Consider the following 27,195-nt stretch of genomic DNA (forward strand, 5'->3'; position numbering starts at 1 on the left):
TCAGTAAATCTTCATATAATCATATTCCAGTTTTTTCATTTTTCTTTAAAATGCGGTTTATAGATTGTGCAAACCTGTACTGAATCCAGAACTATACATCTGTAAAGCGCTGGAAAAAAAAAAAAGGCTGTCAATCTAGAATTCTATAACCACCAAAAACAAAACAAAACAAGTCCTCCAAAATGGAGGCAAAATAACGACGTATTCAGACCAAAAAAAAAAAAAAAATCTTAGGAAATTTGTCACCAGCAGATCTTTACAAAAACTATTAACGTGTTTTTTTGTTTTTTGTTTGTTTGTTTGTTTGTTTCTCAGATGGAGTCTCGCTCTTGTTGCCCAGGCTGGAGTGCAATGGCGCGATCTCAGCTCACTGCAACCTCCGCCTCCCAGGTTCAAGCGATTCTCCTTCCTCAGCCTCCCGAGTAGCTAGGATTACAGGCGCCCGCTACCAGGCCCTGCTAATTTTTGCATTTTTAGTAGAGACGGGGGATTCACCATGTTGGCCAGGCTGATCTCAAACTCCTGACCTCAGGTGATCCACCCGCCTCGACCTCCCAAAGTGCTAGGATTACAGGCATGAGCCACTGCGCCCGGCCTAACAAAGTTCTTCATATTGAAGGAAAATGATACCAGAATGAAACTCAGATCTACACAAAAGAATGAGGAGCATGGAAGATAATAAACGCGTAGGTAACTATAAAAGATTCTCTTTTTCATTGTTAAAAATTATTCATAAAATAATTGATCTTTAAAGAAAAACTATGTATTGTGGTGCTTATAACAATGAAGACATGAAAATTGTGATAATTGCAACGCAAAGGAAGGAAGGGGAAAATGAGTGTGTATTGTTTTAAGGTTCTTATATCACACATGAAGTCATATACTATGATTTAACTGTATTAAGTTGAAGGTGCATATTGTAAGCCCTAGAGCTACCACTAAAAAAAAAGGGAACAAAATCATATAGACTGTAAGTCAACAAAGGAGTTTTCCTTGTGACTCTTATTTTCTTGCTGTTTTTATAAAACTTTACTTTTACCTGTTTTTGTTTTATAAACATGCAATTAACTTTGTATGCTTTTTTTTTTTTTTTTTGCCAACTTTGCTAAACTTTGTAGTTAATTTTGACGATCAATCTCTATGTTCTTTTAGGTCATCTAAGAAAACAATAATATCAAATGTGCATAATGAGAGTTTTATTTCTTCCTTTGTAATCTGCATACTTTTCTTGTTTCCTTTTCATGTATAATGCATTGGCCAGGACTTTCAGCACAATGCTAAATGAACGAACTGGTACCTAAAGACACAACCTAACCGTACTAAAATTCCATCTTTGGGGATCTGTTTCCTGGGATCGCCTTAAAGAACAGTTTCTGTGTTAGTCAGGGTCCTGTCAGAAGACCAGTTATTTTGAACAGAGATGTTTTAAAATGAAGAACTATTCACTAGACATAAAGACTTTTTAACTCAATCATGGAAAAGGCAAAAAAGTAACACCACAGTATTATGGAGGTAACTATGGAAAAGAGCCATCAACTCTGAGGCTAGGAGAACAAATGGAAGAGATCTTTGAGGGAGCATAAGGCAGCCACTGTGAGTGTTGGGAAAATTTTTTTAAAAATCTGAAAGGTGTTTATGGGAAAGTTTATAAAACCTTATTGGAAAATAATAAATATATAAATAGGTTAAATCATATACCATGTCCATGGATTGGAAAACCCAACATATTAAAGACCACTTTGGGAGGCTGGGGCGGGCGGATCACCTGAGGTCGGGAGTTCAAGACCAGCCTGGCCAACAGGCAGGAGAATTGCTTGAACCCGGGAGACAGAGGTTGTGGTGAGCCAAAATCATGCCATTGCACTCCAGCCTGGGCAACAAGAGAGAAACTCCATCTCAAAAACAAAAAAATAATAATAATTCTCACCAAACTGATGAGTAGATCCATTGAGATTCCATTTTAAATCCCAGCAGTATTTTCCTAGAACATTACACACTGATTATAGATTTATATATAAGACTCGAAACACTCTTTAAAAGAAAAAGCACGTTGTGAGCAGACATCAAATTTTCTTATATAGCAAAAATAATTAGAAAAAATAGAGCATGGAATAAATGACAGAGCCTAGGACTCACATATTGATGGAAAAATCTATGACAGAAGTAGCATTGCAGTTAAGTGGGGAAAGGAGAGACTATTTTATAAATTGTGTTGAGATATCTGGTATCCCTAGAGAAAAAAATATTAATTTGCATCCTGTCCTCCAAAATCTATTCTGCTAAAATAAAAACATAAATACAAAAAAACAAAATCAGTAAATTTTTAAGATAATACAGGGGCCAGGTGCAGTGGCTCATGCCTATAATCCCAGCACTTTGTGGGGGGGTCAAGGTGGACTGATCACTTGAGTCCAGGAGTTCGAGACCAGGCTGGGAAACATAGTGAAGCTCCATCTCTACCAAAAATACAAAAATTAGCCAGGCATGGTGGTGTACGCCTGTGGTCCCAGCTACTCGGGAGGCTGAAGCAGGAGAATCACTTGAACCCAGGAGCTGGAGGTTGCTGTGAGCTGAGATCACACCACTGCACTCCAGCCTGGGTAACAGAGCAAGACCCTGTCTTCCAAAAAAAAAAGGCAAAACCATGATGTTCCCACCTGTTATGGCTGTTAACGAACCTCTTCCTTACAGACAGCTGGAAAATGACTAGGCAGTGGTGATATAACCAATATATCCAAGGCCTGACCAATTACGTGGGAACCCTTCTTAAGTACAGATTCCATAAGTAGAAATTGTGCCTTTGCAAATTAGGTTACTCACTTTCTTTTTTTATCTTATATGAGATGCCTTCTTTTTCTCAACTCACATTTCACATTCACATGCCTTTTTTAGTCTTTACATAAATACAGAATTTACTTTTTCATGTACAGTAAAATTTACCTTTTATGTATAGTTCTATTAACACATGTTTAGAATCATGTAACCACCACAAAACAGAATAGAGCCACCACCACCACACACACACACACACACAAACACACACACACAAACTAATGATTTCCCCCAATTCCAGTCCCTGCAAAGCACATATTTGTTCTCTATCCCTAGTTTTCTCTTTTCCAGGATGGTGTATAACTGTAATCAAATAGTATGTAACCATTTGGGATTGGCTTCTTTGCATAATATCTTTGAGTTTCTTCCCTGCTGTGTCTGTTAATTTTTCATTCCTTTCGATTGCTGAGTGGTATTCCATTGTTTGGATGTACCACTTTTTGTTTAACCATTAACCCATTGGAAGACATTCAGGTTGTTTCCTGGGTTTGTTAATTATGAATAGAACTGCTACAAATAGCCATGTATAGCTGTGATGGTTAATACTGAGTGTCAACTTGATTGGATTAAAGGATACAAAGTATTGATCCTGAGTGTGTCTGTGAGGGTGTTGCCAAAAGATACTTGCTTTTGAGTCAGTGGGCTGGGTAAGGCAGATCCACTCTTAATCTGGTGGGCACACTCTAACCAGCTTTCAATGAATATAAAGCAGGCAGAAAAACGTGAAAATGAGAGATGGGCCTATCCTCCCAGCCTACATCTTTCTCCTGTCCTGGATGCTTCCTGCTCTTGAACATCGGACTCCAAGTTCTTCAGTTTTGAGACTTGGACTAGCTCTCCTTGCTCCTCAGCTTGCAGACAGCCTATTGTGGGACCTTGTGATAGTGTAAGTTAATACTTAATAAACTTCCCTTTATATATATATATATCTCCTATTAGTTCTGTCCCTCTAAGAGAACCCTAACTAATACAGATTTTGGTACCAGGAGTGGTTCTAAAGGAACAGATATTAAGGATGGAGTTTTTTCATTGGTTTAGGGGTTTCTGGAGTTGGCTGCTTAATAGGATTAGACCCAAAAATGCTAAGGACTCTACTTCTAACAGTATGGAGAACACTGATAGTCCTTCACATGAACTGTTTAGAGAGTTGTGCAAAATAAATGCATTTGGCACTCCTGATTCACTGCTCATGAGAGGCAAGGGGTTTAGTGACACTGCCTAATACTTTTGACCATATGCGGAGAACCAAGGAACGTAATGAAGCTGGTTGGTTGCTCCTAAGTTCAGTAGGCAAAGTGATGAAAGAAAATGATGAGCTCAGGGATTCTGTCTCCCGGCTTCAGAAGCAGATACTGAGCCTCAAATCTGCTAAGATTACCCTGAGTGAGAGCCTTATCTCCTGTAGAGAAAGAGCTGAAATTGTGGAAAAACAGACACAAGCTCTTATGCGAGTGGCTGACCTGCAACAAAAGATGCATGCATAGCCTCGCCAGGTGTCTACTGTTAAAGTGAGGGCATTGGTTGGAAAAGAATGGGACCCTGCAACTTGGAATGGGGAAATGTGGGAACACCCTGATGAAGCTGGGGACACTGAGTTTGTAAACTCTGATGAACTTAGTGAGAAGGGAGAGCTTCCCCATCCCAAGTAGTGGCAACATCCCCTCCTCGACCCATGCTGCCATCAGCCTTTCCTCCTTCGTCTGAGGAGATGAACCCTGCGCTGCCTGAGGTAACAGTGATGGCCTCCCCTGAGGCAGTTGCCAGGCAAGATAATGTTGATTCTCCTCAGGAGCCACCCCCAACACCCTGTTTGCTTCTAGACCTATAACCAAACTAAAGTCCCAGCAGGCCCCTGGAGGTGAGGTTGAGAGTGTGACCTATGAGGAGGTGCAATACACTCAAAAAGAACTGTTTGAGTTCCCTAATTTATATAAACAGCAATCTGGAGAACAGGCATGGGAATGGATATTAAGGGTATGGGATAATGGTGGAAGGAACATAGAGTTGGATCAGTTTGAATTTATTGATCTGGACAACCAAAGTTGCCATGGTGGCAGGGATGGCGGTTATGCATGGGCTCAGGAACATGGACTTCCACTCACCAAGGCTGACCTGGCTATGGCCACTGCTGAGTGCCCAATTTTCCAGCAGCAGAGACCAACACTGAGCACTCAATATGGTACCATTCCTCGGGGCGATCAGCCAGCCACCTGGTGGCAAGTTAATTATATTGGACCTCTTCCATCATGGAAATGGCGGAGGTTTGTCCTCACTGGAATAGACACTTACTCCGGATATAGTTTGCCTATCCTGCACGCAATGCTTCTGCCAAGACTACCATCGATGGATTCACGGAATGCCTCATCCACCATCATAGTATTCCACACAGCATTGCCTCTCACCAAGGCACTCACTTTACAGCTAAAGAAGTGTGGCAGTGGGCTCATGCTCATGGAATTCACTGGTCTTAACATGTTCCCCATCGTCCTGAAGCAGCTGGATTGATAAAACAGTGGAATGGCCTTTTAAAGGCACAATTAAAATGCCAACTATGTGACAATACTTTGCAGCACTGGAGCAAAGTTCTCCAAAAGGCTGTGTATGCTCTGAATCAGCATCCAATATATGGTACTGTTTCTCCCATAGCCAGGATTCACTGGTCCAGGAATCGAGGGGTGAAAGTGGAAGTGGCATCACTCACCATCACCCCTAGTGAGCCACTAGCAAAATTTTTGCTTCCTGTTCCCGTGACATTAGGTTATGCTGGCCTAGAGGTCCTAGCTGCAGAGGGAGGAATGCTGCCACCAGAAGACACAACAATGATTCCATTAAACTGGAAGTTAAGATTGCCACCTGGACACTTTGGGCACCTCCTACCTTTAAGTCAGACTAAGAAGGGACTTGCAGTGTTGGCTGGGGTGATTGTCCCAAACTATCAAGATGAAACCAGTCTACCACTCCACAATGGAGTTAAGGAAGAGTACTCATGGAATACAGGAGATCCACTAGGGAGTCTCTTAGTATTACCATGCCCTGTGATTAAGGTCAATGGAAAACTACAACAGCCCAATCCAGGCAGGACTACAAATGGTCCAGATCCTTCAGGAATGAAGGTTTGGGTCACTCCACCAGGGAAAAAAAAACCATGACCTGCTGATGCACTTGCTGAAGACAAAGAGAATACAGAATGGGTAGTAGAAGAAAGTAGTCATCAATACCAGCTATGGCCACGACCAGCTGCAGAAACGAAGACTGTAATTGTCATGAGTATTTCCTCCTTCTTTTATTAAAAACATGTTTGTGCATGTATACACTTGTACTAAGAAAATATCTTCATTTTATTTCCTTTTCCTTTATCATGTGACATAAGATTTATTGACTTCATATCAGCATTTAAGTATTGTTAACTTTAGGTAATAGTATTTGGGTTAGGGATTGGTGCATTTCTAGTTGTATGAAGGATAGTTGTATTATGCTAAACATAATTATGACTTCATTATTGTCTTTATTTGAATATTATGTATAATCTCAAATGGAGATGTTTTTGGGTTCAAGTTGACAAGGAGAGGACTTGTGATGGTTAATACTGAGTGTCAACTTGATTGGATTGAGGGATACAAAGTATTAATCCTGGGTGTGTCTGTGTGGGTGTTGCCAAAAGAGATTAAAATTTGAGTCAGTGGGCTGGGGAAGGCAGATCCACCCTTAATCTGGTGGGCACAATCTAATCAGCTTCCAGTGAATATAAAGCAGGCAGGAAAATGTGAAAAGGAGAGACAGGCTTGGCCTCCCAGCCTACATCTTCAGATTCTTCAGTTTGGGAACTCTGACTGTCTCTCCTTGCTCCTCAGCCTGCAGACAGTCTATTGTGGGATGCTGTGATTGTGAAAGTTAATACTTAATAAACTCATATATATATGTTATATATATTAGGATATATAATAAGATATATATTATATATAATAGTTCTATCCCTGTTAGTTCAGTCCCTCTAAGAGAACTCTAATACAAGCTACGTCCCAGAGACTCCGGTATTTTATCTCTTTGTTCTCATTAGTTTCAAAGAACTTTTTTATTCCTGCCTTAATTTCATTATTTACTCAGGAGTCATTCAGGAGCAGGTTGTTCAATTTCCACGTAGTTGTGTGATTTTTAAGTTAGTTTCTTAATCTTAAGTTCTAATTTGATTGCACTGTGATCTGAGAGACTGTTATGATTTCAGTTGTTTTGCACTTGCTGAGGAGTGTTTTACTTCCAATTATGTGATCAATTTTAGAGTGAGTGCCATGTGGTGATGAGAAGAATGTATATTCTGTTGTTTTTGGATGGAGAGTTCTGTAGATATCTGTCAGATCGCCTAGATCCAGAGCTGAGTTCCAGTCCTGAGTATCTTTGTTAATTTTCTGTCTCAATATTCTGTCTGATATCGTCAGTGGGGTGTTAAAGTCTCCTACTATTATTGTGTGGGAGTCTAAGTCTCTTTGCAGGTCTCTAAGAACTTGCGTTATGAATCTGGGTGCTCCTGTATTGGATGCATATATACTTAGGATAGTTAGCTCTTCTTGTTGCATTGATCCCTTTACCATTATGTAATGGCCTTCTTTGTCTTTTTTGATCTTTGTTGGTTTAAATTCTGTTCTGTCAGAGACTAGGATTGCAACCCCTGCTTTTTCTCTGCTTTCCATCTGCTTGCTAAATCTTCCTCCATCTTTTTATTTTGAGCCTATGTTTGTCTGTACATGAGTTGGGTCTCTTGAATACAGCATACCGATGAGTCTTGACTCTATCCAGCTTGCCATTCTGTGTCTTTTAATTGGGGCATTTAGCCCATTTACATTTAAGGTTAATATTCTTATGTGTGAATTTGATCCTGTCATCATGATGCTAGCTGGTTATTTTGCAGACTTGTTTATATGGTTGTTTCATAGTGTTACTGGTCTGAGTACTTCAGTGTGTTTTTGCAGTGGCTGGTAATGGTTTTTCCTTTCCATATTTAGTGCTTCCTTCAGGAGCTCTTGCAAAGGCAGGCCTGGTGGCTGTGAATTCCCTCAGCTTTTGTTTATCTAGAAAGGATCTGATTTCTCCTTCGCTTATGAAACTTAGTTTGCCCGGAAATGAAATTCTGGGCTGGAAATTCTTTTCTTAAGAATGTTGAATATTGGCCCCCAATCTCTTCTGCCTTGTAGGGTTTCTGTTGAGAGGTCTGCTGTTAGTCTCATGGGCTTCTTTTTGTAGGTGACCTGGCATTTCTCTGTGGCTGCCCTTAACATTTTTTCTTTCATTTCAACCTTGGAGACTCTGAATGATTATGTGTCTTGGGGTTGATCTTCTCATGGAGTATCTTACTGGGGTTCACTGCATTTCCTGAATTTGAATGTTGGCCTGTCTTGCTAGGTTGGGGAAGTTCTCCTGGATGATATCCTAAAGTATGTTTTCCAACTTGGTTCCATTCTCCCCACCTCTTTCAGGTACCCCAATCAGTTGTAGGTTTGGTCTTTTTACATAATCCCATATTTCTCAGAGGTTTTGTTCATTCCTTTTACTTCTTTTTTCCTCTAATCTTGTTTGCCTGACTTATTTCAGAAAGATAGTCCTCAAACTCTGAGATTCTTTCCTCCACTTAGTCTATGTGGTTATTGATACTTGTGATTGCATTGTGAAGTGCTCGTGTGTTTTTCAGCTCCATCAGGTCATTTATGTTCCTCTCTAAACTGGCTACTGTAGTCACCAGCTCCTGTAATGTTTTATCATGATTCTTAGCTTCTTTGCATTGGGTTAGAACATGATCCTTTACTTCAGTGAAGTTTATTGCTACCCACCTTCTGAAGCCTACTTCTGTCAACTCATCCATCTCAGCCTCTGCTCAGTTCTGTGCTCTTGCTGGAAAAATGTTGTGATCATTTGGAGGAGAAGAGACCCTCTGGCTTTTTAAGTTTTCAGAGTTTCCGCATGGATTCTTTCTCATTTTTGTGGGCTTATCTACCACCAATCTTTGAGGCTGCCGACTTTCAAATTTTGCAATGGTCTCAGCAGAAAATAAACAGTCCACAATTTAAACAGAACTCATAGCATTACAAAAGTTTACAGAACCCCTATGTTTTCATCATTTGTTTCTAACAACAAAGATTACAACGACAGAATTGAATGATCAGAATGTAAAAATATTTGTGCAAAACTGCATTAATTGTTCTTACTATCTAATAGGGGTAAAACTTAAGAACACACAATGACAATAATGAAGAAAAACTACATTAAAAGTAATTCTACTTTAGATTTCAAACATGAATTATATTATTACTAAACATTAAAAAAAAAAGTGGCACCATGAGAGCAGCAGGAGCAACAAATTATGCCAGCTAAGGAAAGCTGACACTGGAATATGCCAAAGTTAATCTCCACAATAGGTATCCATCTGAAAAGACTGGAAACAACCGTAGGGCCTAAAACTCACTTCAATTTATTTATTCTTGAATTTGTAGGTCTTAATTGAAGTATTTAAGAAAGTCTTTTCCCCTCCCTCTCAAGGAGTGTTTCTTGCTTTACTGTCAATCATTCGAAGAGTTGAATCATAGACTCTGGATTTACCAACACCAATCCATTTAACTGGAATTTGAAGCTCATCTTCAATAAATCGAACATAGTTTTGTGCATTAACAGGTAGTTCTTTAAATGCCCTTGCATTTGATATGTCTGTGTTCCATTCTCATGGAGTCTTATATTGAACTTCAACTTTAAGACTTCTTGATTTGCTGGAATATGAGGTATGATTTGACCATCTAACTTGTAAGCAACTCCAACTTTGATTTCCATAAACATGTCCAAAATATTCAACTTGGTAACTTCCAGCGCAGTAAATCCATTGATAATATGAGCATATTTGAGCAAAACGAGGTCCAACCAGCCACATCTTCTTTTCCTTCCAATAGTTACACCAAACTCTCTACCCTTTGTTTGTAATAATTCTCCAATTTCCTTGAGATTTTGTAATTCACCTTCAATGTCTATTTCCAAAGTGGGATGTATAGATTTGTATTGTTTAGCTGGAACTTTAAACATCTCAGAGAAGCCAACAAGGTCAGAAACAAGATCGCACATCCTAAGTCCACTCCGAGCAGCTTTGGAAGAATAAACTGGGCCAATGCCCTTTTTTGTTGTACCCAAATTTTTTCCTGCTTGTTCTTGTCTCTGTTGTTCCTGGACACCATCAGCGGCTTGATGAAAATCAAATACAATATGAGCTCTGTCAGATAAAATAAGCCTTTTTCCCAGCCTTCTAGTCCTTTTCCTTTTTGAACATTTTTCTCTGCTTCTTCAAACAATCCAGGTAGATGAATTACCACACCATTTCCATTGAATGCAGTAACATTTGGAATAATTATTCCACTGGGTAAGAGATGAAAATCATACTCCACAGAATGCACAACAACTGTATGGCCAGCATTATTTCCTCCCTGGCAGCGGCACATGGGGTCCTGCGCCAGTAGATCCGCCACCTCCCCTTTGCCTTCGTCGCCCCACTGCACACCGAGCACCACCGTCACCCAGTTTCCTCTGGGCCGCGCCCTGGGGCGGCCGCAATCGCCGCTGGGCAGGGAGGATGCCTCCAGGTAGTTCTTGGCGAACGCCGCAGCTCCGGTGACGCGAGGAGAGCCGGAAGGAGACGCGGCCGGCGAGAGGTGAGCGAACTGTATTGCTCTGCGGCCTCCAGCCACCTGCGGAGGAAGAGGGAGCCAGAGGCCGGCCCCGCCCCCGCCCCCGCCCCGCTGGGCTGCCACACTCCAGCCAATCCCTGCCCCGCTCTCCGCCACAACCCGCTCAAGTAGGGGGACTCTGACTGCCCCGCGCAGGTGGCCTGCCTTGGCAGCACCGCCCGCGGGAAGTGGCGGCCTGGCGCGCTACTCGGAGAAGGCCATAATTTAGCCTACCACACTAATATGTGCACTTAAATTTTACTCATCACTGAATCTCCTCACTCTCATTATCTATGTCTCACGAATTTTGATATGTTTTCATTTTCACTCGACTGCATTTTTAAAATTTACCCTGAGACAACCTCTTTGTCCTATGGATTACTTAGAAGTACGTTTTAACTTTCTAAGTGTTTGGAAATTTTCCTGTTACCTTTCTGCCATTGATTTGTAGTTTGGTTCCATTTTGGTCATAGAACACACTCTGAGTATAATTTCAATTCTTTAACATTTGTTTAGGTTTGTTTTATGGCTCAGGTTCTGGTCTATCTTGGTATATGTTCCATAGGCATTTGAGAAGAATATATGTTTTGCTGTTGTTGAGTAACATGTTGACTGGTGGTGTTAAGTTCTTCTATACCCTTGCAGATTTTCTTTAAGACGGGGTCTCGCTCTGTCACTGAGGCTGGAGTGCAGTGGCATGATCATAGTTCACTGCAACCTCATTTCCTGGACTCAAGCAAGCCTCCCACTTCAGCCTCTCAAGTAGCTAGAACTACAGGCATGCACCAACATGCCCCCCCAGAAATTTTTTTTAAGAATGGGGTCTTGCTGTGTTGTGCAGGCTGCTCTCAAATCTGCCTTATAGATTTTTTGGTCTACTTGTACTACGAGGTACAAGGGTGATGACGTCCCTAACTACAATTGTGAAGTCTACTTCTCCTTTCAGTGCTATCACTTTTTGTGTCACATATTTTGCAGCTCTGTTGTTTGATATACATACATGTAGATGGCCATATCTTCCTGGTTAACTGATCTTTTCATCATTAATATAATATCCCTATGCGTCTCTGGTAATTTTCTTTACTTTATCTGATATTTGTATAGCCGCACCTGCTCTCTTTTGTTTGCATAATATGTCTTTTTTTTTTTTTTTTTTTTTTTTTAGACGAAGCCTTGCTCTGTCACCCAGGCTGGAGTGCAGTGGCACAATCTTGGCTCACTGCAGTCTCAGCATCCCAGGTTCAAGTGATCCTCCCACCTCAGCCTCCCAAGTAGCTGAGATTACAGGCACCCACCACCAAGTCCACCTAATTTTTGTATTTTTAGTAGAGATGGGGGGGTTTCACCATGTTGGCCAGTCTGGTCTTGAACTCTTGGCCTCAACTGATCCACCACCTTGGCCTCCCAGAGTGCTGGAATTACAGGTGTGAGCCACCATACCTGGCCCTACATGATATGCCTTTTTCCATCATTTTATTTTCAACTTTCATACATTTGAAGTGAGTTCCTTATAGACACCATACACTGGGTCATAATTTTTAATCCACTCTGCCAAATGGTTCTTTAATTGGTATATTTAGACCCTTTATATATTATATAATTATTGATATGTTTGGGCTTAAGTATGCCATTTTATTTTTTGATTTCTATTTCTTCTCTGTGTTCTTAATATTTTTTTCTTTTCCCTGCCTTCCTATGGGTTGAATATTGGGCAGAATTCTGAGTTATCTATTATGTTTTTAGTGTATCTCGTTGTATAGCTTTTATAGTAATTGCTGTAGGTATTACATTATATATACATAATTTTTCACAGTGAACTGGTGTCATCATTTTACTAGTTCTAGTGAAATATAGAAATTTTACCTCCAGTCATGTCTCTTTAACCACCTTTCTTTGTTTATAATAAAATTGTATTAAATATTTCCTCTACAAACATGTAGAACCACATCAGAGAATGTTATAATTTTTACTCCAACTGTCAAACATAATTTAGAAGACTCAAGCAGAGAGAGAAAGCATATTGCATTTACCCATATTTTTACTTACTGTGTTCTTTCTTCCTTTCTGATGTTCCATAACTCCTTTTTTTTTTTTCATTGCCTCCCTGTTTAGATAACTTCTTTTAGCTGTTCTGTTAGAGTAGGTCTTTTGGTGATGGCAATGAATTCTCTTATTTTTCCTTCATCTGAGAATGCCTTGGTTTTCCTTTCATTCCTAAAGAATACATTCTCTGTGCATAGGATTCTGAGTTGAGAGTTCTTTTTATTCAGTACTTGAAAAATGTTATGACACTTTCTTCTGTTCTCCATGATTCCACTGTCATTCAAATTGTTATTCTCTATAAAGAAGGTGTTTTCACTGGCTGCTTTAAATATATTTTATGTCCTTAGTTTTCAGATATTTAATTAAAATTTGTCTTGGCACAATTTTCTTTGAGTTTATCTTGTTTGGGATTTGCTTAGCTCCTTGACTCTGTGTTTACCTGAGTTATCAGGTAAATATCCAAGAGAACAAAAAAGGAAAAAAATGATTGGGACAAAGGAGACCAAAAGGAGTGAAAGAGAGAAGGAAAATTTTAACCTAGAGATACAAGCCACTCTAAAATATTTTGTTTAACAAAAAAGTGGGAGAAAGTGGACTGCAGGGGCTTGTCCAGGGAAAGGCTACTGCCAAGAAGCACTGTGTCCCTTTCTCCTCCATTCTTTCCTCTTATCAGTCAGAGATAGAAACTAAAACAGCCTAAAACTGGGGGGTGTAGTGTGACGGATCCCCGACCAGGTTACTTAAGGGTTTATTTTTGCTGCTTGCACCCTGAAGGCTGAGCACTGAGCAAAGGCCATGATGCCTACCTGAGGAGAAGGTGTCCCTGACAACCCAAACATCCCAGAATGTCTCTGGGAACATACCAAGGAAAACAGTCTCATTGCAAACAGTAGGCAAAGAGCCAGAATATTCGCTTAAAAGAAGCTTAGGGCTGGGTGATGGGGCAGGTCTCTGGAGCTATCCTGCTCCCACCAGGAATACCTTGTATGTAAGTCCTGATAAATTCATCTACTCACAAACCTAGATTTGTCTGAGCCATTCTTTGGTTTCTTGGCTCCTTCTCAGTTTGGGAGTATGTTGCAGTCCCAGTTTTTCTTGTAACAGCATGAGGGAGAGGAATAGAAAAAAAAAAAACCTGAATTCAGGGTGCCTAAGTCTATTTTGTGTTATAAGGAATTCCTGAGGCTGTGTAATTTGTAAAGAAAAAGGATGCATTTGGCTCACAATTCTGATGTCTAGGAAAGTTCAAGATTGGGCATCTGCATCCGGTTATGTCCTCAGGCTGCTTCCACTCATGGCAGGAGGCAAAGAGAAGCCAGTGTGTGCAGAGATCACAAGGCAAGAGAGGAAACAAGAGTAGAGAGAGGTGCCAGGGTCTTTTTAACAACCAACTCTTATGGGAACTAATAAAGTCAGAACTCACCCCCAAGAAAGGGCATTAATCTATTCATGAGACATCCTCCCCCATGACCCCAACACCTTCCATTGGGCTCCCTCTCCAACACTGAGGATCAAATTTCGACATGGGGTTTGGAGGGGACCAAACATCCAAACTATAGCACAGGGAGAGAAAAAAAATAACCAACTGAATTATATGTAGATAAAATTTTTGTTAATTTTTATTTTAGGTTTGGGGGCGCATGTGAAGGCTCATTACACAGGTAAACATGTGTCATGGGGTTTTGTTATACATATTATTTCATCACCCAGGTATTAAGCCCATACCCAATAGTTAACTTTTCTGCTCCTCTCCCTCCTCCCACCCTCCCCCCCTCAAATAGACCCCAGTGTCTGCTGTTTCCTTCTTTGTGTTCATAAGTTCTTTCGTTTAGCTCCCATTTATCAGTGAGAAGATGCTGGACTTGGTTTTCTGTTCTTAAGTTAGTTTGCTAAGGGTAATGGCCTCCAGTTCCATCCATGTTCCTGCAAAAGACATGATCTTGTTCTTTTTTATGGCTGTGTAGTAGCCCATGGTGTATATGTACCACATTTTCTTTATCTAATCTGTCATTGATGAGCATTTAGGTTAATATAGACATAATGAATAGATTGTACATGTACATAGATAAAGATATCAAACGTATATCTAAATTAAAACAAACATCCATAATTTCACCCAATTGGAAATCGAAAATTTGTATACCAAAGAATTTATATAACAAAAAGATAGCTAAGGTCGTGATTGGGTTTAGAACTGTAAGGTTTTTTGTTTTCTGTTTTTTGCTTTTTTTAGAGAGAGATAAAGTCTTGCTCTGTCACCCAGGCTGGAGTGCGGTGGTGCCATCTTGGCTCACTGCAACCCCCGCCTCCCAGGTTCAAGTGATTCTCCTGCCTCAGCTTCCCAAGTAGCTGGGACTACGGGAGCACACCACCACATCCAGCTAATTTTTGTATTTTTTAGTAGAGATGAGGTTTCACTATATGTTCGCCAGGCTGGTCTCGAACTCCTGGCCTCAAGTGATCCGCCTGTCTCGGCCTCCCAAAGTGCTGGGATTACAGGCGTGAGCCACCACGCCTGGCCAGAACTGAAAGCTCTAAATTAACTTTAACATTTGCCAAAATGCACCAATTGAGAAACCTCGTGGACTTAATAAATACTCAAATTATACTTATGCCTGAGGTTCCAACAAATTTAAACATTGTACCCCATATAATTTTAAAAGGTAGCTAAATAGCTTTTTAAAAATAGCTATGCCTTATTTTATATCTTGATTGAATTGCTCATAGTTGTTGTACTCAGTGCCTTAAAGTATCTCGTATTGAACATAGACTCCATGTCACAATAAATAATAAATTAAAATTAAATTTTTGGCACTCAAAAATTGGCTTGATAAAATAGGATTATATAAATCCCATTAAAATAGTTAATATGGTTCAATGTAAGTTAAAATAGGCCCTTGAAGGATTGAAAGTTGTTACATAAAACCTCATTTATATAACATAAAAGGGATAAAGGAGATAAGTATTCCCTGCTGCTTGTCCGTTTAACAGCCCAGTGTTGCCTGTTCTTAAACCTGGAAAATAATAAGCAGCAGGCACCTCACGGTGGAGGACTACAACATTATTGCTGTGGTCTTGTCGACTAGGGCCTCATAGCCAGTATCTAGTATGATTAACATTATTAACTCTATCCAATCAATAACTGCTAAATACTCTGTTCTTACAGACTTGGCTAATATGTTCAATATGTTCAATTCCGTGCCTATTTCAACAGACTCCACTGTAGTTTGCCTCCATTGCTGAAGAGACACAATATACCTCTTGCAGGCTACACCTCAGTACCTTCACAATTTTGCCATCATGCACACATCTTACAGACAAGATCTTTTTTAATACTTAATTTTTCTAGAGCAGATTCACAGCAAAATTGAGCGGAAAGTACAAAGATTTTCCATATACCCACTGCCCGCACTCATGCATAGCCTCCCCCATTAGCAACATCTCCCATTAGTGTGGTACATTTGTTACAATTGATTAATCTAAATTAATACATCATAATCACTCAAAATCCATTGCGACTTTTACATTAGCGTTCATTCTTCTTGTACATTTTATGGGTTCAGACAAATGTATAATGACATATATCTACTATATAGTATCAAACACAGGATTTTCATGGCCTTAAGAATCCTCTGTGGTTCAACTATTCATTCCTCCCACTCCCTTAATCCTTGGAAACCACCGATCATTTTACTGTCTCCATAATCTTGCCTTTTACAGAATGTCATATAGTTGGAATCATACAGTATATAGCCTTTTCAGATGGCCTTCTTTTTAAAGAGACAGGGACAGACAAGATCTTAAGTGCATGCACCTTCCTCTGGGAGCACAGATATGATATTACATTAATAACCTCCTCCAAGGAGATGTCACTTAATCTACTCATATGGACATAAGAGTCCAACATCTTTTCATCCTTTTTGGGTTTTCATGGCAAAATATTCTTCACTTACAAATTTTACTTAATCTCATTGAGCTGTAACTCACAAATGAACCCACTTTAAATGTGGCAGCCTCAAACAAAAAGGCTCTAAAATCTATCCAAATTAATACCAACAGACAGACCCATTGGTGCCTGCATTGATTCCTTTACTGAAGAGACTTTAACAAGCTCTACTCATGCCTCCTAAAGTCTAGACCACCTGTGATGGCTACGAATTGCCTGAGGGCTCTCAGCCTCATGCTATATGCCATTAAAACCACAAATGACTAGCTCCATACTGGGCTCTCCTGGACATAGAGGCTTTCACAGATTCTGAGTCTGTGACCCTCCATACCTGGCTACCTGTTATGCTTTCAGTCATGGAAACAGCACCCTGCAAGCTCAGCCTCTCAGAGGGCCCAGGTTTGTCTCTAACCTGTCTCAAGGAGGCTACCAAGTCCTGGGCTCTCTAGCATATTCACACGCAGAAGGGAGTGACGTCCCCAGTCCTTGGTCCCTTGCCAGATGCCATAGTGCTGGAGGAGGTCACCTCTCCTCCAGACCCCTTGGTTACCTGGAAAGCTCCTTTGGATTGACTGAGTGAACAGCAATAGAAGTTCACGGACTATATGAATGGCACTGCCAACCACCATACATGATGGAGCTAGGTGGAATATTACCGAATGCTGGATGCCCTGGCCAACAAATGGCCCCATCTCCATATTCCTTTTGAACAATTGAGCCATTGCCTAATGAATTGTCCCTTTCAGATTAAGGAACACTAAGAACCTCTTTCCTCTTAGATACCCAAAATCACGTGTCTATGTATATTAAGGCCACCATATGAGGCCTTACAATTACCAAGGTAATAACCAAGGCACACATTTCACATTGCAAAATACACACTGAATGGGCTCCCGAAACAAACAGGCATTCAATAAAACTTTCATGACCCTAATAGGTCCCAAATAGCCAGTTTAACAGAGAGACATAAGAGTCTCCCCAAACAACTTCTTTTAAAGTTCCAGTCCAACAAATGGACCTCTCAATGGGTCTTTATCTTGCCCCAGGCCTTAACCTATTTTTATAGATTTTCAATATCAAACCCCCCCCATCAGGAGGCCACAGCAGGTGTGTATATTCTCTGGGGTCCAATTAATAGTGATTGTCCAATGGGCTAGGCAGCTGCTTATCTGATATGGGACCCGTTTGAGCCTAAACTTCAACCATGAAGCAAGCAAGCAAGCAAGCAAAAACCAAAACTCTGTCAAATGCAGCTGCACACCATTCTGTTTTCTGTTTATCTTTTTTGTTTTGTTTGTTTGTTTTTGCTTTTTGTTTTGGTCTGAGACAAGGTCTCACTCTGTTACCCAGGCTGGAGTGCAGTGGCGTGATCACGATTCACTCCCCACTCTACTTCCTGGGTTCAGACAATCCTCTCACCTCAGCCTCCTGAGAAGCTGCGACCACAGGCACACACTACCACGCCCAGCTAATTTTTTATGTTTTTTGTAGAGACAGGGTTTTACCATGTTGCCCAGGCTGGTCTTGAATGCCTGAGCTCAAGCAATGCACCTGCTTTGGCCTCTCAAAGTGCTGGGATTACAGGCATGAGCTGCCATGCTCAGCCTGCTGATCTTACTGCTGGTATGGGTGCTTTTGTTGTTTTATCATCTGGAGGCACCAACCCTCCATACAAGCCATTGTTTTAATCAATCATGGCAAATGCTAAGACCCACATCAACCTGAGTCTGTATTTACTTAAAAGAAATACTCAAGACCCATATCCTAGATGACATTTTCCTGGATAGGCACTCACTGCTGGAGATTATGCTGCCTCAGATGACATCGATCCAGCTTACCGTCAGAGATGAATTTACCCCTGCACCAGACATGGCGTCACCCTAAACACAAAAACCTTCACCCCAGTGACACCCATGGACTGCCTCTTCTCAGGCACAAACTGCACACCGAACATTTGGCCTTTTTTCCTTTGATATCAGGGATTCTATTGTGTTTCTGAGTGTGCTGTCTGCTTAGCCTATCATCCTGGCATACTCCTTGCTCTCTGCCAAAACATACACCCCGCACTCCTATGCCTGAAGGAAAATTTAATAGTAGTTACCACTACCTACGTCATTCTAAGAATTAATGGAGGGCCAAGCACAGTGACTCATGCCTATAATTCCAGCACTTTGGGAGGCTGAGGCAGGACTGCTTAATCCCAGGAGTTCAAACCAGCCTGGGCAACATGGGGAGACCCCATCTCTACAAAACATATAAAAGTTAGCTGGGCATGGTGGTGTACACCTGTAGTCCCAGCTACTCAAGAGTCTGAGGCAGGAGAATCTCTTGATGTCGGGAGGTCAAGGCTGTAATGAGCTATGACCACACCACTGCACTCCAGCCTCGGTGACAAGGGCAAGACCCTGTGTCTAAAAAGATAACAAAAATTAATGGATAGTATTGCCTTTCTCTGAAGGCTGTTGCCTCCTGAGTCAATCCCTCAACCCACTGGGAAGAGGACCACTAACTCCCCAGTGCCTACCCCTACTACCCCCTCAAGCTTTCCCCCGTGACTTCCTGCCCTGTGTCTCTGACCATGACCACTCCTCCTTGGTTATACACACACGCTAGTCTACACATGCATTATTAATGTATTAGTTCCTATCCCCCAACAACCTGACTGCAGGACCTGTTTTATATAAAATATATATATATAAAATATATATATATTATATATATAAATATATATATAATATATATATATATGTATTTCAAACTTTTAACCCACTTTAAAACTCCACCAAGATAATAGTAAAAACCTCCAAAAATTTCAGATCTACTTTCTTGACTAATGACATGCAAATGAAGAACTTAGTTATGGACCAGCCTACAAGGGCTCTTTATACTTCCACATTGTTCTTCTATCTTACTCTTACAATAAAATATTTTCTAGGCTATTTAGGGCAACTGTACCCCATCCTTTAAATAAGTCCACTATTACCACCCCAGGTTTCTTACGATGATGCCAAATAGGCCCAGGGGCAATGGGTCTTACTGTGTTTTCCTAGGTTCTGTACTTGTCTATTTGGCATCCATTAATCACAGGGCCAAACTAATGGCCAACATTCTTTACATCCCCGCTGTGACCCAGAGCTCATACTCTAAGCTACTCACACATCGAGCCAATATTTTCCCTACCCTACATAAACCCAGGGCCATGTAACAGACAACTGGGGACCGTCCCTAGGCCCCAAAGCCCATCAGAATTATTCAAACTATTGAGTCCTAAGCTGTTCCCCCTGCCCAGCTGGACCTTTCCCACAGAAACCCTAATAATAAAGGTTCCGAATTAGATTTTCCCCTCACTTCTGCTCCTCTTTCCTTAACCAACTGGATGCTTTACCACATGACCCTGCATGACAGAGCAAGTCCCCTTCTCTTGGAACTATAAGTAATAAAGTCTTTTTTCAATGGCGCTAGTCCATCTGTGTTGACACTCAGTCACCTCCATAAATCAAAACTTCAAGAGTACATTTTCATATAATATTTTATCAGGCATCTGAAGGTTTCACCAAAGTTTATATTTTCCTACTGCAAAACTATGTTCCATGTAGATCTGGCCCATCTTGAGGCTATTGTTCCTGCGTTCATCCTCCCATGGTCACATTTCTTGGCCAACAGAACCATAGAAATTGGTCTGCCATGTGTTAACGTTTAGTCCAAATCATTTTTCCACTTTAGCTCTGCTTCAAATGGGGCTGGCCTGGTGATACTGGAGACAATAAATGCGCCTGTAAGTTCCAGATAACAGGCTCTTGTCATTTTCCCAATCTTTCCTCATTGCAATGTTCCACAGCTGTAGGTGTGCCAAGGCCTCTGGGTCCCAGTGTAGCACCTTGAATGCACAGTTCACACAGTGGTGGCTTCAGGGTGCCAGCCAGGAGGAGTTCTGGTGCACTCACTGTTTGATGATGGTGGTCTTCCCCATGCCCAGGTCACCCATCACCAGCAGCTGATACAGGCTGCCTGAGGTTCAGGGCTGGAAAGACTCCAAGAGTGTGAACATGCTCCCACTGTTTTAAGTTCTTTTTTTTTTTTTTAATTTTTATTATACTTTAAGCTCTGGGATACACGTGCAGAATGTGCAGGTTTGTTACATAGGTATACATGTGCCATGGTGGTTTGCTGCACCTATTGACCCATCCTCTGAGTTCCCTCCCCTCACTCTCCCCACCCCACAACAGGCCCTGGTGTGTGTTAATCCTTTCCCTGTGTCCATGTGTTCTCATTGTTCAGCTCCCACTTATGAGTGAGAACATGTAGTGTTTCATTTTCTGTTCCCATGTTAGTTTGCTGAGGATGATGGCTTCCAGCTTCATCCATGTCCCTGCAAAGGTCATGATCTCATTCCTTTTTATGGCTGCACAGTATTCCATGGTGTATATGTACCACATTTTCTTTATCCAGTCTATCACTGATGGGCATTTGGGTTGGTTCCATGCCTTTGCTATTGTAAATAGTGGGGCAATAAACATATGTGTGCATGTGTCTTTTTTTTTTTTTTTCTGAGACAGAGTTTTGCTCTTGTCACCCAGGCTGGAGTGCAATGGGGTGATCTTGGCTCACTGCAACCTCTGCCTCCCGGGTTCAAGCAATTTTCATGTCTCAGCCTCCCAAGTAGCTGGGATTACAGACGCCTACCACCACTCCCAGCTAATTCTTGTATTTTTAGTAGAAATGGGGTTTCACCATGTTGGCCAGGCTGGTCTCAAACTCCTGGCCTCAGGTGATCCACCCGCCTCAGCCTCCCAAAGTGCTGGGATTACAGGCATGAGCCACCGCGCCACGCCTGCATGTATCTTTATAGTAGAATGATTTACATTCCTTTGGGTATATACCCAGTAATGGGATTCCTGGGTCAAATGGTATTTCTGGTTCTAGATCCTTGAGGAATCGCCACACTGTCTTCCACAATGGTTGAACTAATTTACATTCCCACCAACAGTGTAAAAGCATTCCTATTTCTCCACAGCCTCGCCGTGCAGTGGAGACTTTTTAATAATCTTTCTTTTAATAAAAGATTATTTAAAAGTTTTAAATATTCTTTTAATAAAAGATTATTTAAAAGTTTTAAATAATCTTTTATCTTGACTTTTCAATAATCACCATTTGACTTGTGTGAGATGGTGTCTCATTGTGGTTTTGATTTGCATTTCTCTAATGATAAGTGATGTTGAGTTTTTTTTCATACGTTTGTTGGCTGTATAAATGTCTTCTTTTGAGAAATGTCTATTCATATCCTTTATCCACTTTTCAATGGGGTTGTTTTTTCCTTGTAAATTTGTTTAAGTTCCTTGTACATTCTGGGTATTAGACCTTTGTCAGATGGGTAGATTGCAAAAATTTTCTCCCATTCTGTAGGTTGTCCGTTCACTCTGATGGTGGTTTCTTTCCCTGTACAGAAGCTCTTTAGTTTAATTAGATCCCGTTTGTCAACTTTGGCTTTCGTTGCAATTGCTTTTGGTGTTTTTGTCATGAAGTCTTTGCCCATGCCTATGTCCTGAATGGTATTGCCTAGGTTTTCTTCTAGAGTTTTTATGGTTTTGAGTTTTGCATTTAAGTCTTTAATCTATCTTGAGTTAATTTTTGTATAAAGTGTAAGGAAGGGATCCAGTTTCAGTTTTCAGTTTGAGTCTTTAGTCCATCTTGGGTTAATTTTTGTATAAGGTGTAAGGAAGGGATCCAGTTTCAGTTTTCTGCATATGGCTAGCCAGTTCTCCCAGCACCATTTATTGAATAGAAGATCCTTTCCCCATTGCTTGTTTTTGTCAAGTTTGTAGAAGATCAGATGGTTATAGATGTGTGGTGTTATTTCTGAGGTCTCTGTTCTGTTCCATTGGTCTATATGTCTCTTTTTATGCCAGTACCATGCTGTTTTGGTTACTGTAGCCATGTAGTGTAGTTTGAAGTCAGGTAGCATAATGCCTCCAGCTTTGTTCTTTTTGTTTAGGATTATCTTAGCTATACAAGGTCTTCTTTGATTCCATATGAAATTTAATTTCATTTAATTCTGATTTGATTCCATATGAAATTCTGTGAAGAATGTCAATGGTAGTTTGATGGGAATAACATTGAATCTATAAATTACTTTGGGCAATATGGCCATTTTCATGATATTGATTCTTCCTGTTTATGAGGATGGAATGTTTTTCCATTTGTTTGTGTCTTCTCTTGTTTCCTTGAGCAGTGGTTTGTAGTTCTCCTTGAAGAGGTCCTTCACATCCCTTGTTAGCTGTATTTCTAGGTATTTTATTCTCTTTTTAGCGATTGTGAATGTGAGTTCACTCATGATTTGGCTCTCTGCTTGTCTATTGTTGGTGTAATGGAATGCTTGTGACTTTTGCACATTGATTTTGTATCCTGAGACTTTGCTGAAGTTGCTTATCAGCTTAAGGAATTTGGAGGCTGAGATGATGGGATTTTCTAGATATAAAATCATCTCATCTACAAATAAAGACAATTTGACTTCCTCTCTTCCTATTCGAATACCTTTATTTCTTTCTCTTGCCTGATTGCCCTGGCCGGAACTTCCAATACTATGTTGAATAGGAGTGGTGAGAGAGGGCATTCTTGTCTTGTGCCAATTTTCAAAGGGAATGCTTCCAGGTTTTGCCCATTCAGTATGATATTGGCTGTGGGTTTGTCATGAATAGCTCTTATTGTTTTGAGATATGTTTCATCAATACCCAGTTTATTGAGAGTTTTTAACATAAAGGGATGTTGAATTTTGTCAGAGTCTTTTTCTGCATCTATTGAGATAATCATATGGTTTTTGTCATTGTTTCTGTTTATGTGATGAATTACATTTATTGATTTGTGTTTGTTGAATCAGCCTTGCATCCCAGGGATGAGGCCCACTTGATCGTGGTGGATAAGCTTTTCTGACATGCCACTGGATTCGGTTTGCCAGTATTTTATTGATGATTTTTGCAATGATGTTCATCAGGGATATTGGCCTGAAGTTTTCCTTTTTTTATTGTGTCCCTACCAGGTTTTGGTATCAGGATGATACTGGCTTCATAAAATGAGTTAGGCAGGATTCTTTCCTCTTTTATTGTTTGGAATAGTTTCAGTAGAAATGGTACCAGCTCCTCTTTGTACCTCTGGTAGAATTCAGCTGTGAATCTGTCTGGTCCTGGGCTTTTTTTGGTTAGTAATTACTGCCTCAATTTCAGAACTTGTTATTGACCTGTTCAGGGATTTGACTTCTCCCTGGCTCAGTCTTGGGAGGTTGCATGTGTTCAGGAATTTATCCATTTCTTCTAGATTTTCTAGTTTATTTGCATAGAGATGACAGAGTCTTGCTCTCTTGCCCAAGCTGGAGTGCAGTGGTGTGGTCTTGGCTCACTGTAACCTCCACTTCCTGCGTTCAAGCAATTCTCATGCCTCAGCCTCCCGAGTAGCTGGGACTACATGTGTGTGCCACCACACTTGGCTAATTTTTATATTTTTAGTAGAGACTGGGTTTCACCATGTTGCCCAGGCTGGTCTTCAACTCCTGACCTCAAGTGATCCATCCAACTCGGCAAGTTCTCCATTTTGATTCATCTCTTCATTGGCTGCATTTCATTGCAATATAGTTTTCAAGAAGATATTAGAGAACTATGTTTTCCATGTCCATTGGATAAGAATGTCTGATATTTCCTTTATAGTCAAATGACATCTTGGTATGGCAAAACATGTGTAGGTAATTAATTTTTCTAATTTCCCTTAAGGAATATCTATAAAGAACTTAGGAAGAAGCGAACATAGGCTAATCCCAGTTTTCCAACATCACGTCAAGTTGCCTAACTTGCAATGTTTTCAAAGACGTATTTTTAGAGAATTAGAGAATGTTACCAAATATATAATGAAAAATATCTCTGTAGCCCAGTCCATCTTCCATGATTCAAGTGAGCCTTGGACAAGATTTAAACATCCTTATCTATACTGATTATCTGGGAGATGCTGGAAATGTCAAAGGCTAATTGGTCTATAAAAGAATTGATTCTCCAGCCGGGCGCGGTGGCTCACATCTGTACTCCTAGCACTTTGGGAGACCGGGGGGGGGGGTTGAATCACGAGGTCAGGAGTTCAAGACCAGCCTGGCCAAGACGGTGAAACCCCATCTCTGCTAAAAATACAAAAAAAAAAAAATTAGCCAGGTGTGGTGGCAGGCACATGTAATCCCAGCTACTCGGGAGGCTGAGGCAGGGAATTGCTTGAACCCAGGAGGCAGAGGTTGCAGTGAGTCGAGATCGTGTCACTACACTCCAGTCTGGGTGACAGAGTGAGACTCATCTCAAGAAAAAACAAACAAACCAACAAACAAACAAACAAAAACGAAACAAACAAACAAACAAAAAGATTTGATTCTCCTTAGGTAAGATATTTGAAAGGGCCTTTTCCAAGTCTTTCATTGTTTGAGCTGTTGTCCAATAGTAGGATTCAGGGTAAATTACTTGCGAGTTTAAATCATACTGGCAGCTTGTCTTGCCTTCAGGGCTCAAGTAGAAGATCTTTGTCATGACACACACTTTTTTAGTGTAACCACCAATTTTTGCCAGCTTCTGTTTTAAAGTTTGGGCAGTTTGTGTAGAATAGTCTTTAAACTCCTCATCCTGTACCATGTGGAAGGTGTATAGGACTGGAGGCTTGTCCTGGGAAATCAGAAGAGCATCACAGAGGACTTTGTGGTTCTCTTGCAAGCCCAGATCCAAAGACCAGCTCCTAGAGAAGATCAGTGAGCCCTTATTGACAGAGCCCATTTCTTCACATATTAATTGCTTAAGTCCTTCATGTTGTGAGAACAGATTTCTGCAGAAGGTTTTTGGAGCACAAGTTATCTTTTCTGATAGCCCTAGATGGGGAAATAATGATAAATTATAAAAGACTGAGAACTTCCAACTTAAGCCATGGATACAAAGCAGCTTGTATTAGATTAATTCTCCCACCAAAAGCAACTATAAAAGCTATGTAAAAGTGTATCAGGGCCAGGCATGGTGGCTCACACCTGTAATAACAACACTTTGGGAGGCAGAGGCAGGAGGATCACTTGTGCCCAGGTGTTCAAGACCAGTCTAGGCAACACTGTAAGACCTCTTCTCTACAAAAAGGTTACAAAGTTAGCCAAGCATGGTAGTGCATGCTGGTAGTCCCAGCTACTTGGGAGGCTGAGGTGGGAGGATCACTTGAGCCCAGGAAGTTGAGGCTGCAGTGAGCTGAGATCATGCCACTGCACTCCAGCCTGGGCAACAGCATGAGATTCTGTCTCAAAAAAATTCTACATATATATATATTTTTTTAAATTTATATATATGTATATATATATATCATAAAACTATAATTTAAAGGACTGGAGAGCAACCAATACAAGCAGGACTTAAAGGGCTACAATCTTTAATACAGAAGAATCACAGGAAGTAGCTTCACATTCACCTCTGCTTTTTCCCTAAGGAGATTTTCCATATCACAGCATGGGTAAATAGAGCCCATGCAGAAATCAGCAGTTTTACTGGGCTAAAGAAAACAGAGGTCAGACTTCAGGGCTGCCAGAGGAGCTGGGATTTCAGAAACAAAATCCCAGAGAAGATGAAACTGAAGAGAAGAAGCCAAAATCTACCCACAAATTTCCCTCAACTCACTGGCTAATACAGGTGAGATGCTAGAAACACAGAAGAAAATATCAACTAGGGCTGGGTGTGGTGGCTTATGCCTGTAATCCCAGCAGTTTAGGAGGCCGAGGCAGGTGGATTGCTTGAGCCCAGGAGTTTGAGACCAGCCTGGGCAATATGGTGAAACCCTGTCACAAAAAGAAAGAAAAGAAAGCAAGGAAGGAAGGAAGGAAGGAAGGAAGGAAGGAAGGAAGGAAGGAAGGAAGGAAGGAAGGAAGGAAAGAAGGAAGGAAGGAGAAAATATCAACTGATCAACTGGGAGATTAAAGAGCTGAACATCACTTTCATCAGCCTCACGGTGCTCAGGAAACACAAATTGTAATTCAACTCCCAGCCAAGTAGAAGGGTCTTGGTAAATACCCCAGACTTTAAGACCCCAGAAGAGCCATGACCTAGTAATTAGTGCAAAATTAAAAGCTACTATACCTAGAAAAGCATAAAACAAAACTTCAAAAGAGTAAAAGTTATCACTGGTGTTCTGTCTGCCAAAAAAAAAAAAAATGTGTAACCCTATCTGAAGAAATGTAACATCTACTAAAGTCTCTACAATTTGTAATCCATAATACTATACAAAATTAAGAGACAGGATAAAAATCAGAACAAATTACTAGAAAATAAGAGAAAAACTGGATTATAGAAAAAGACTGGCAAGTGCTTCAGACATTGGAGTCATCAAAGAGGGACTTTAAAATAACTGTTACATCTTTTTTAAAACCCCCCAAAAATAAAATAGGTGAAAAGATGAAGATGTCCTGATCCTCTTACAGGCTCAGAAAATTGAAATCAATGGATAAAAATCATCAGGGGTTTGGTGGTCTTAAGCCCCAGTTTGTTCAAGGGTCAGTTGTATGCAGTAATATCCCAGAGGTGGCGATCAGCAGGTGAAACTGAGTTTTCAGTAACTGGATCTAGGAAAAGTGGTTATCCACATGGGATAAAATGAAATAGCCCCCTACATCACCGTTTATGGATGTGGATTACATATTTA

At 40.7% G+C, this 27,195-nt stretch overlaps 1 protein-coding gene and 1 pseudogene across 2 annotated transcripts in view, besides 1 other annotated feature; both read right to left on the bottom strand.

Moving 5' to 3' along the window:
* LOC100420061 (adenylosuccinate synthase 2 pseudogene) lies at nucleotides 9,194–10,652 on the bottom strand (annotated as a pseudogene).
* Nucleotides 10,438–10,667: a silencer, noted in NCBI's record as "silent region_8438". NCBI's record gives its function as "represses an Ori minimal core promoter by ATAC-STARR-seq in GM12878 lymphoblastoid cells {active_cell/tissue: GM12878}" and the evidence as "EXISTENCE:reporter gene assay evidence [ECO:0000049][PMID:35858748]".
* Nucleotides 14,162–27,195, bottom strand: part of SLFN12L (schlafen family member 12 like) — a 73,425-nt gene continuing 60,391 nt past the window's right edge. For both annotated transcript variants that reach the window (NM_001363830.2, NM_001195790.3), the window contains one exon: nucleotides 14,162–25,393. In NM_001363830.2, coding sequence (NP_001350759.2) covers nucleotides 24,831–25,393 — 563 coding nt within the window. In that variant the 3' untranslated portion in view covers nucleotides 14,162–24,830. The remainder of the gene's footprint in view (nucleotides 25,394–27,195) is intronic.

This window comes from Homo sapiens, chromosome 17, assembly GCF_000001405.40.
Source record: "Homo sapiens chromosome 17, GRCh38.p14 Primary Assembly".
NCBI classification, from domain to species: domain Eukaryota; kingdom Metazoa; phylum Chordata; class Mammalia; order Primates; family Hominidae; genus Homo; species Homo sapiens.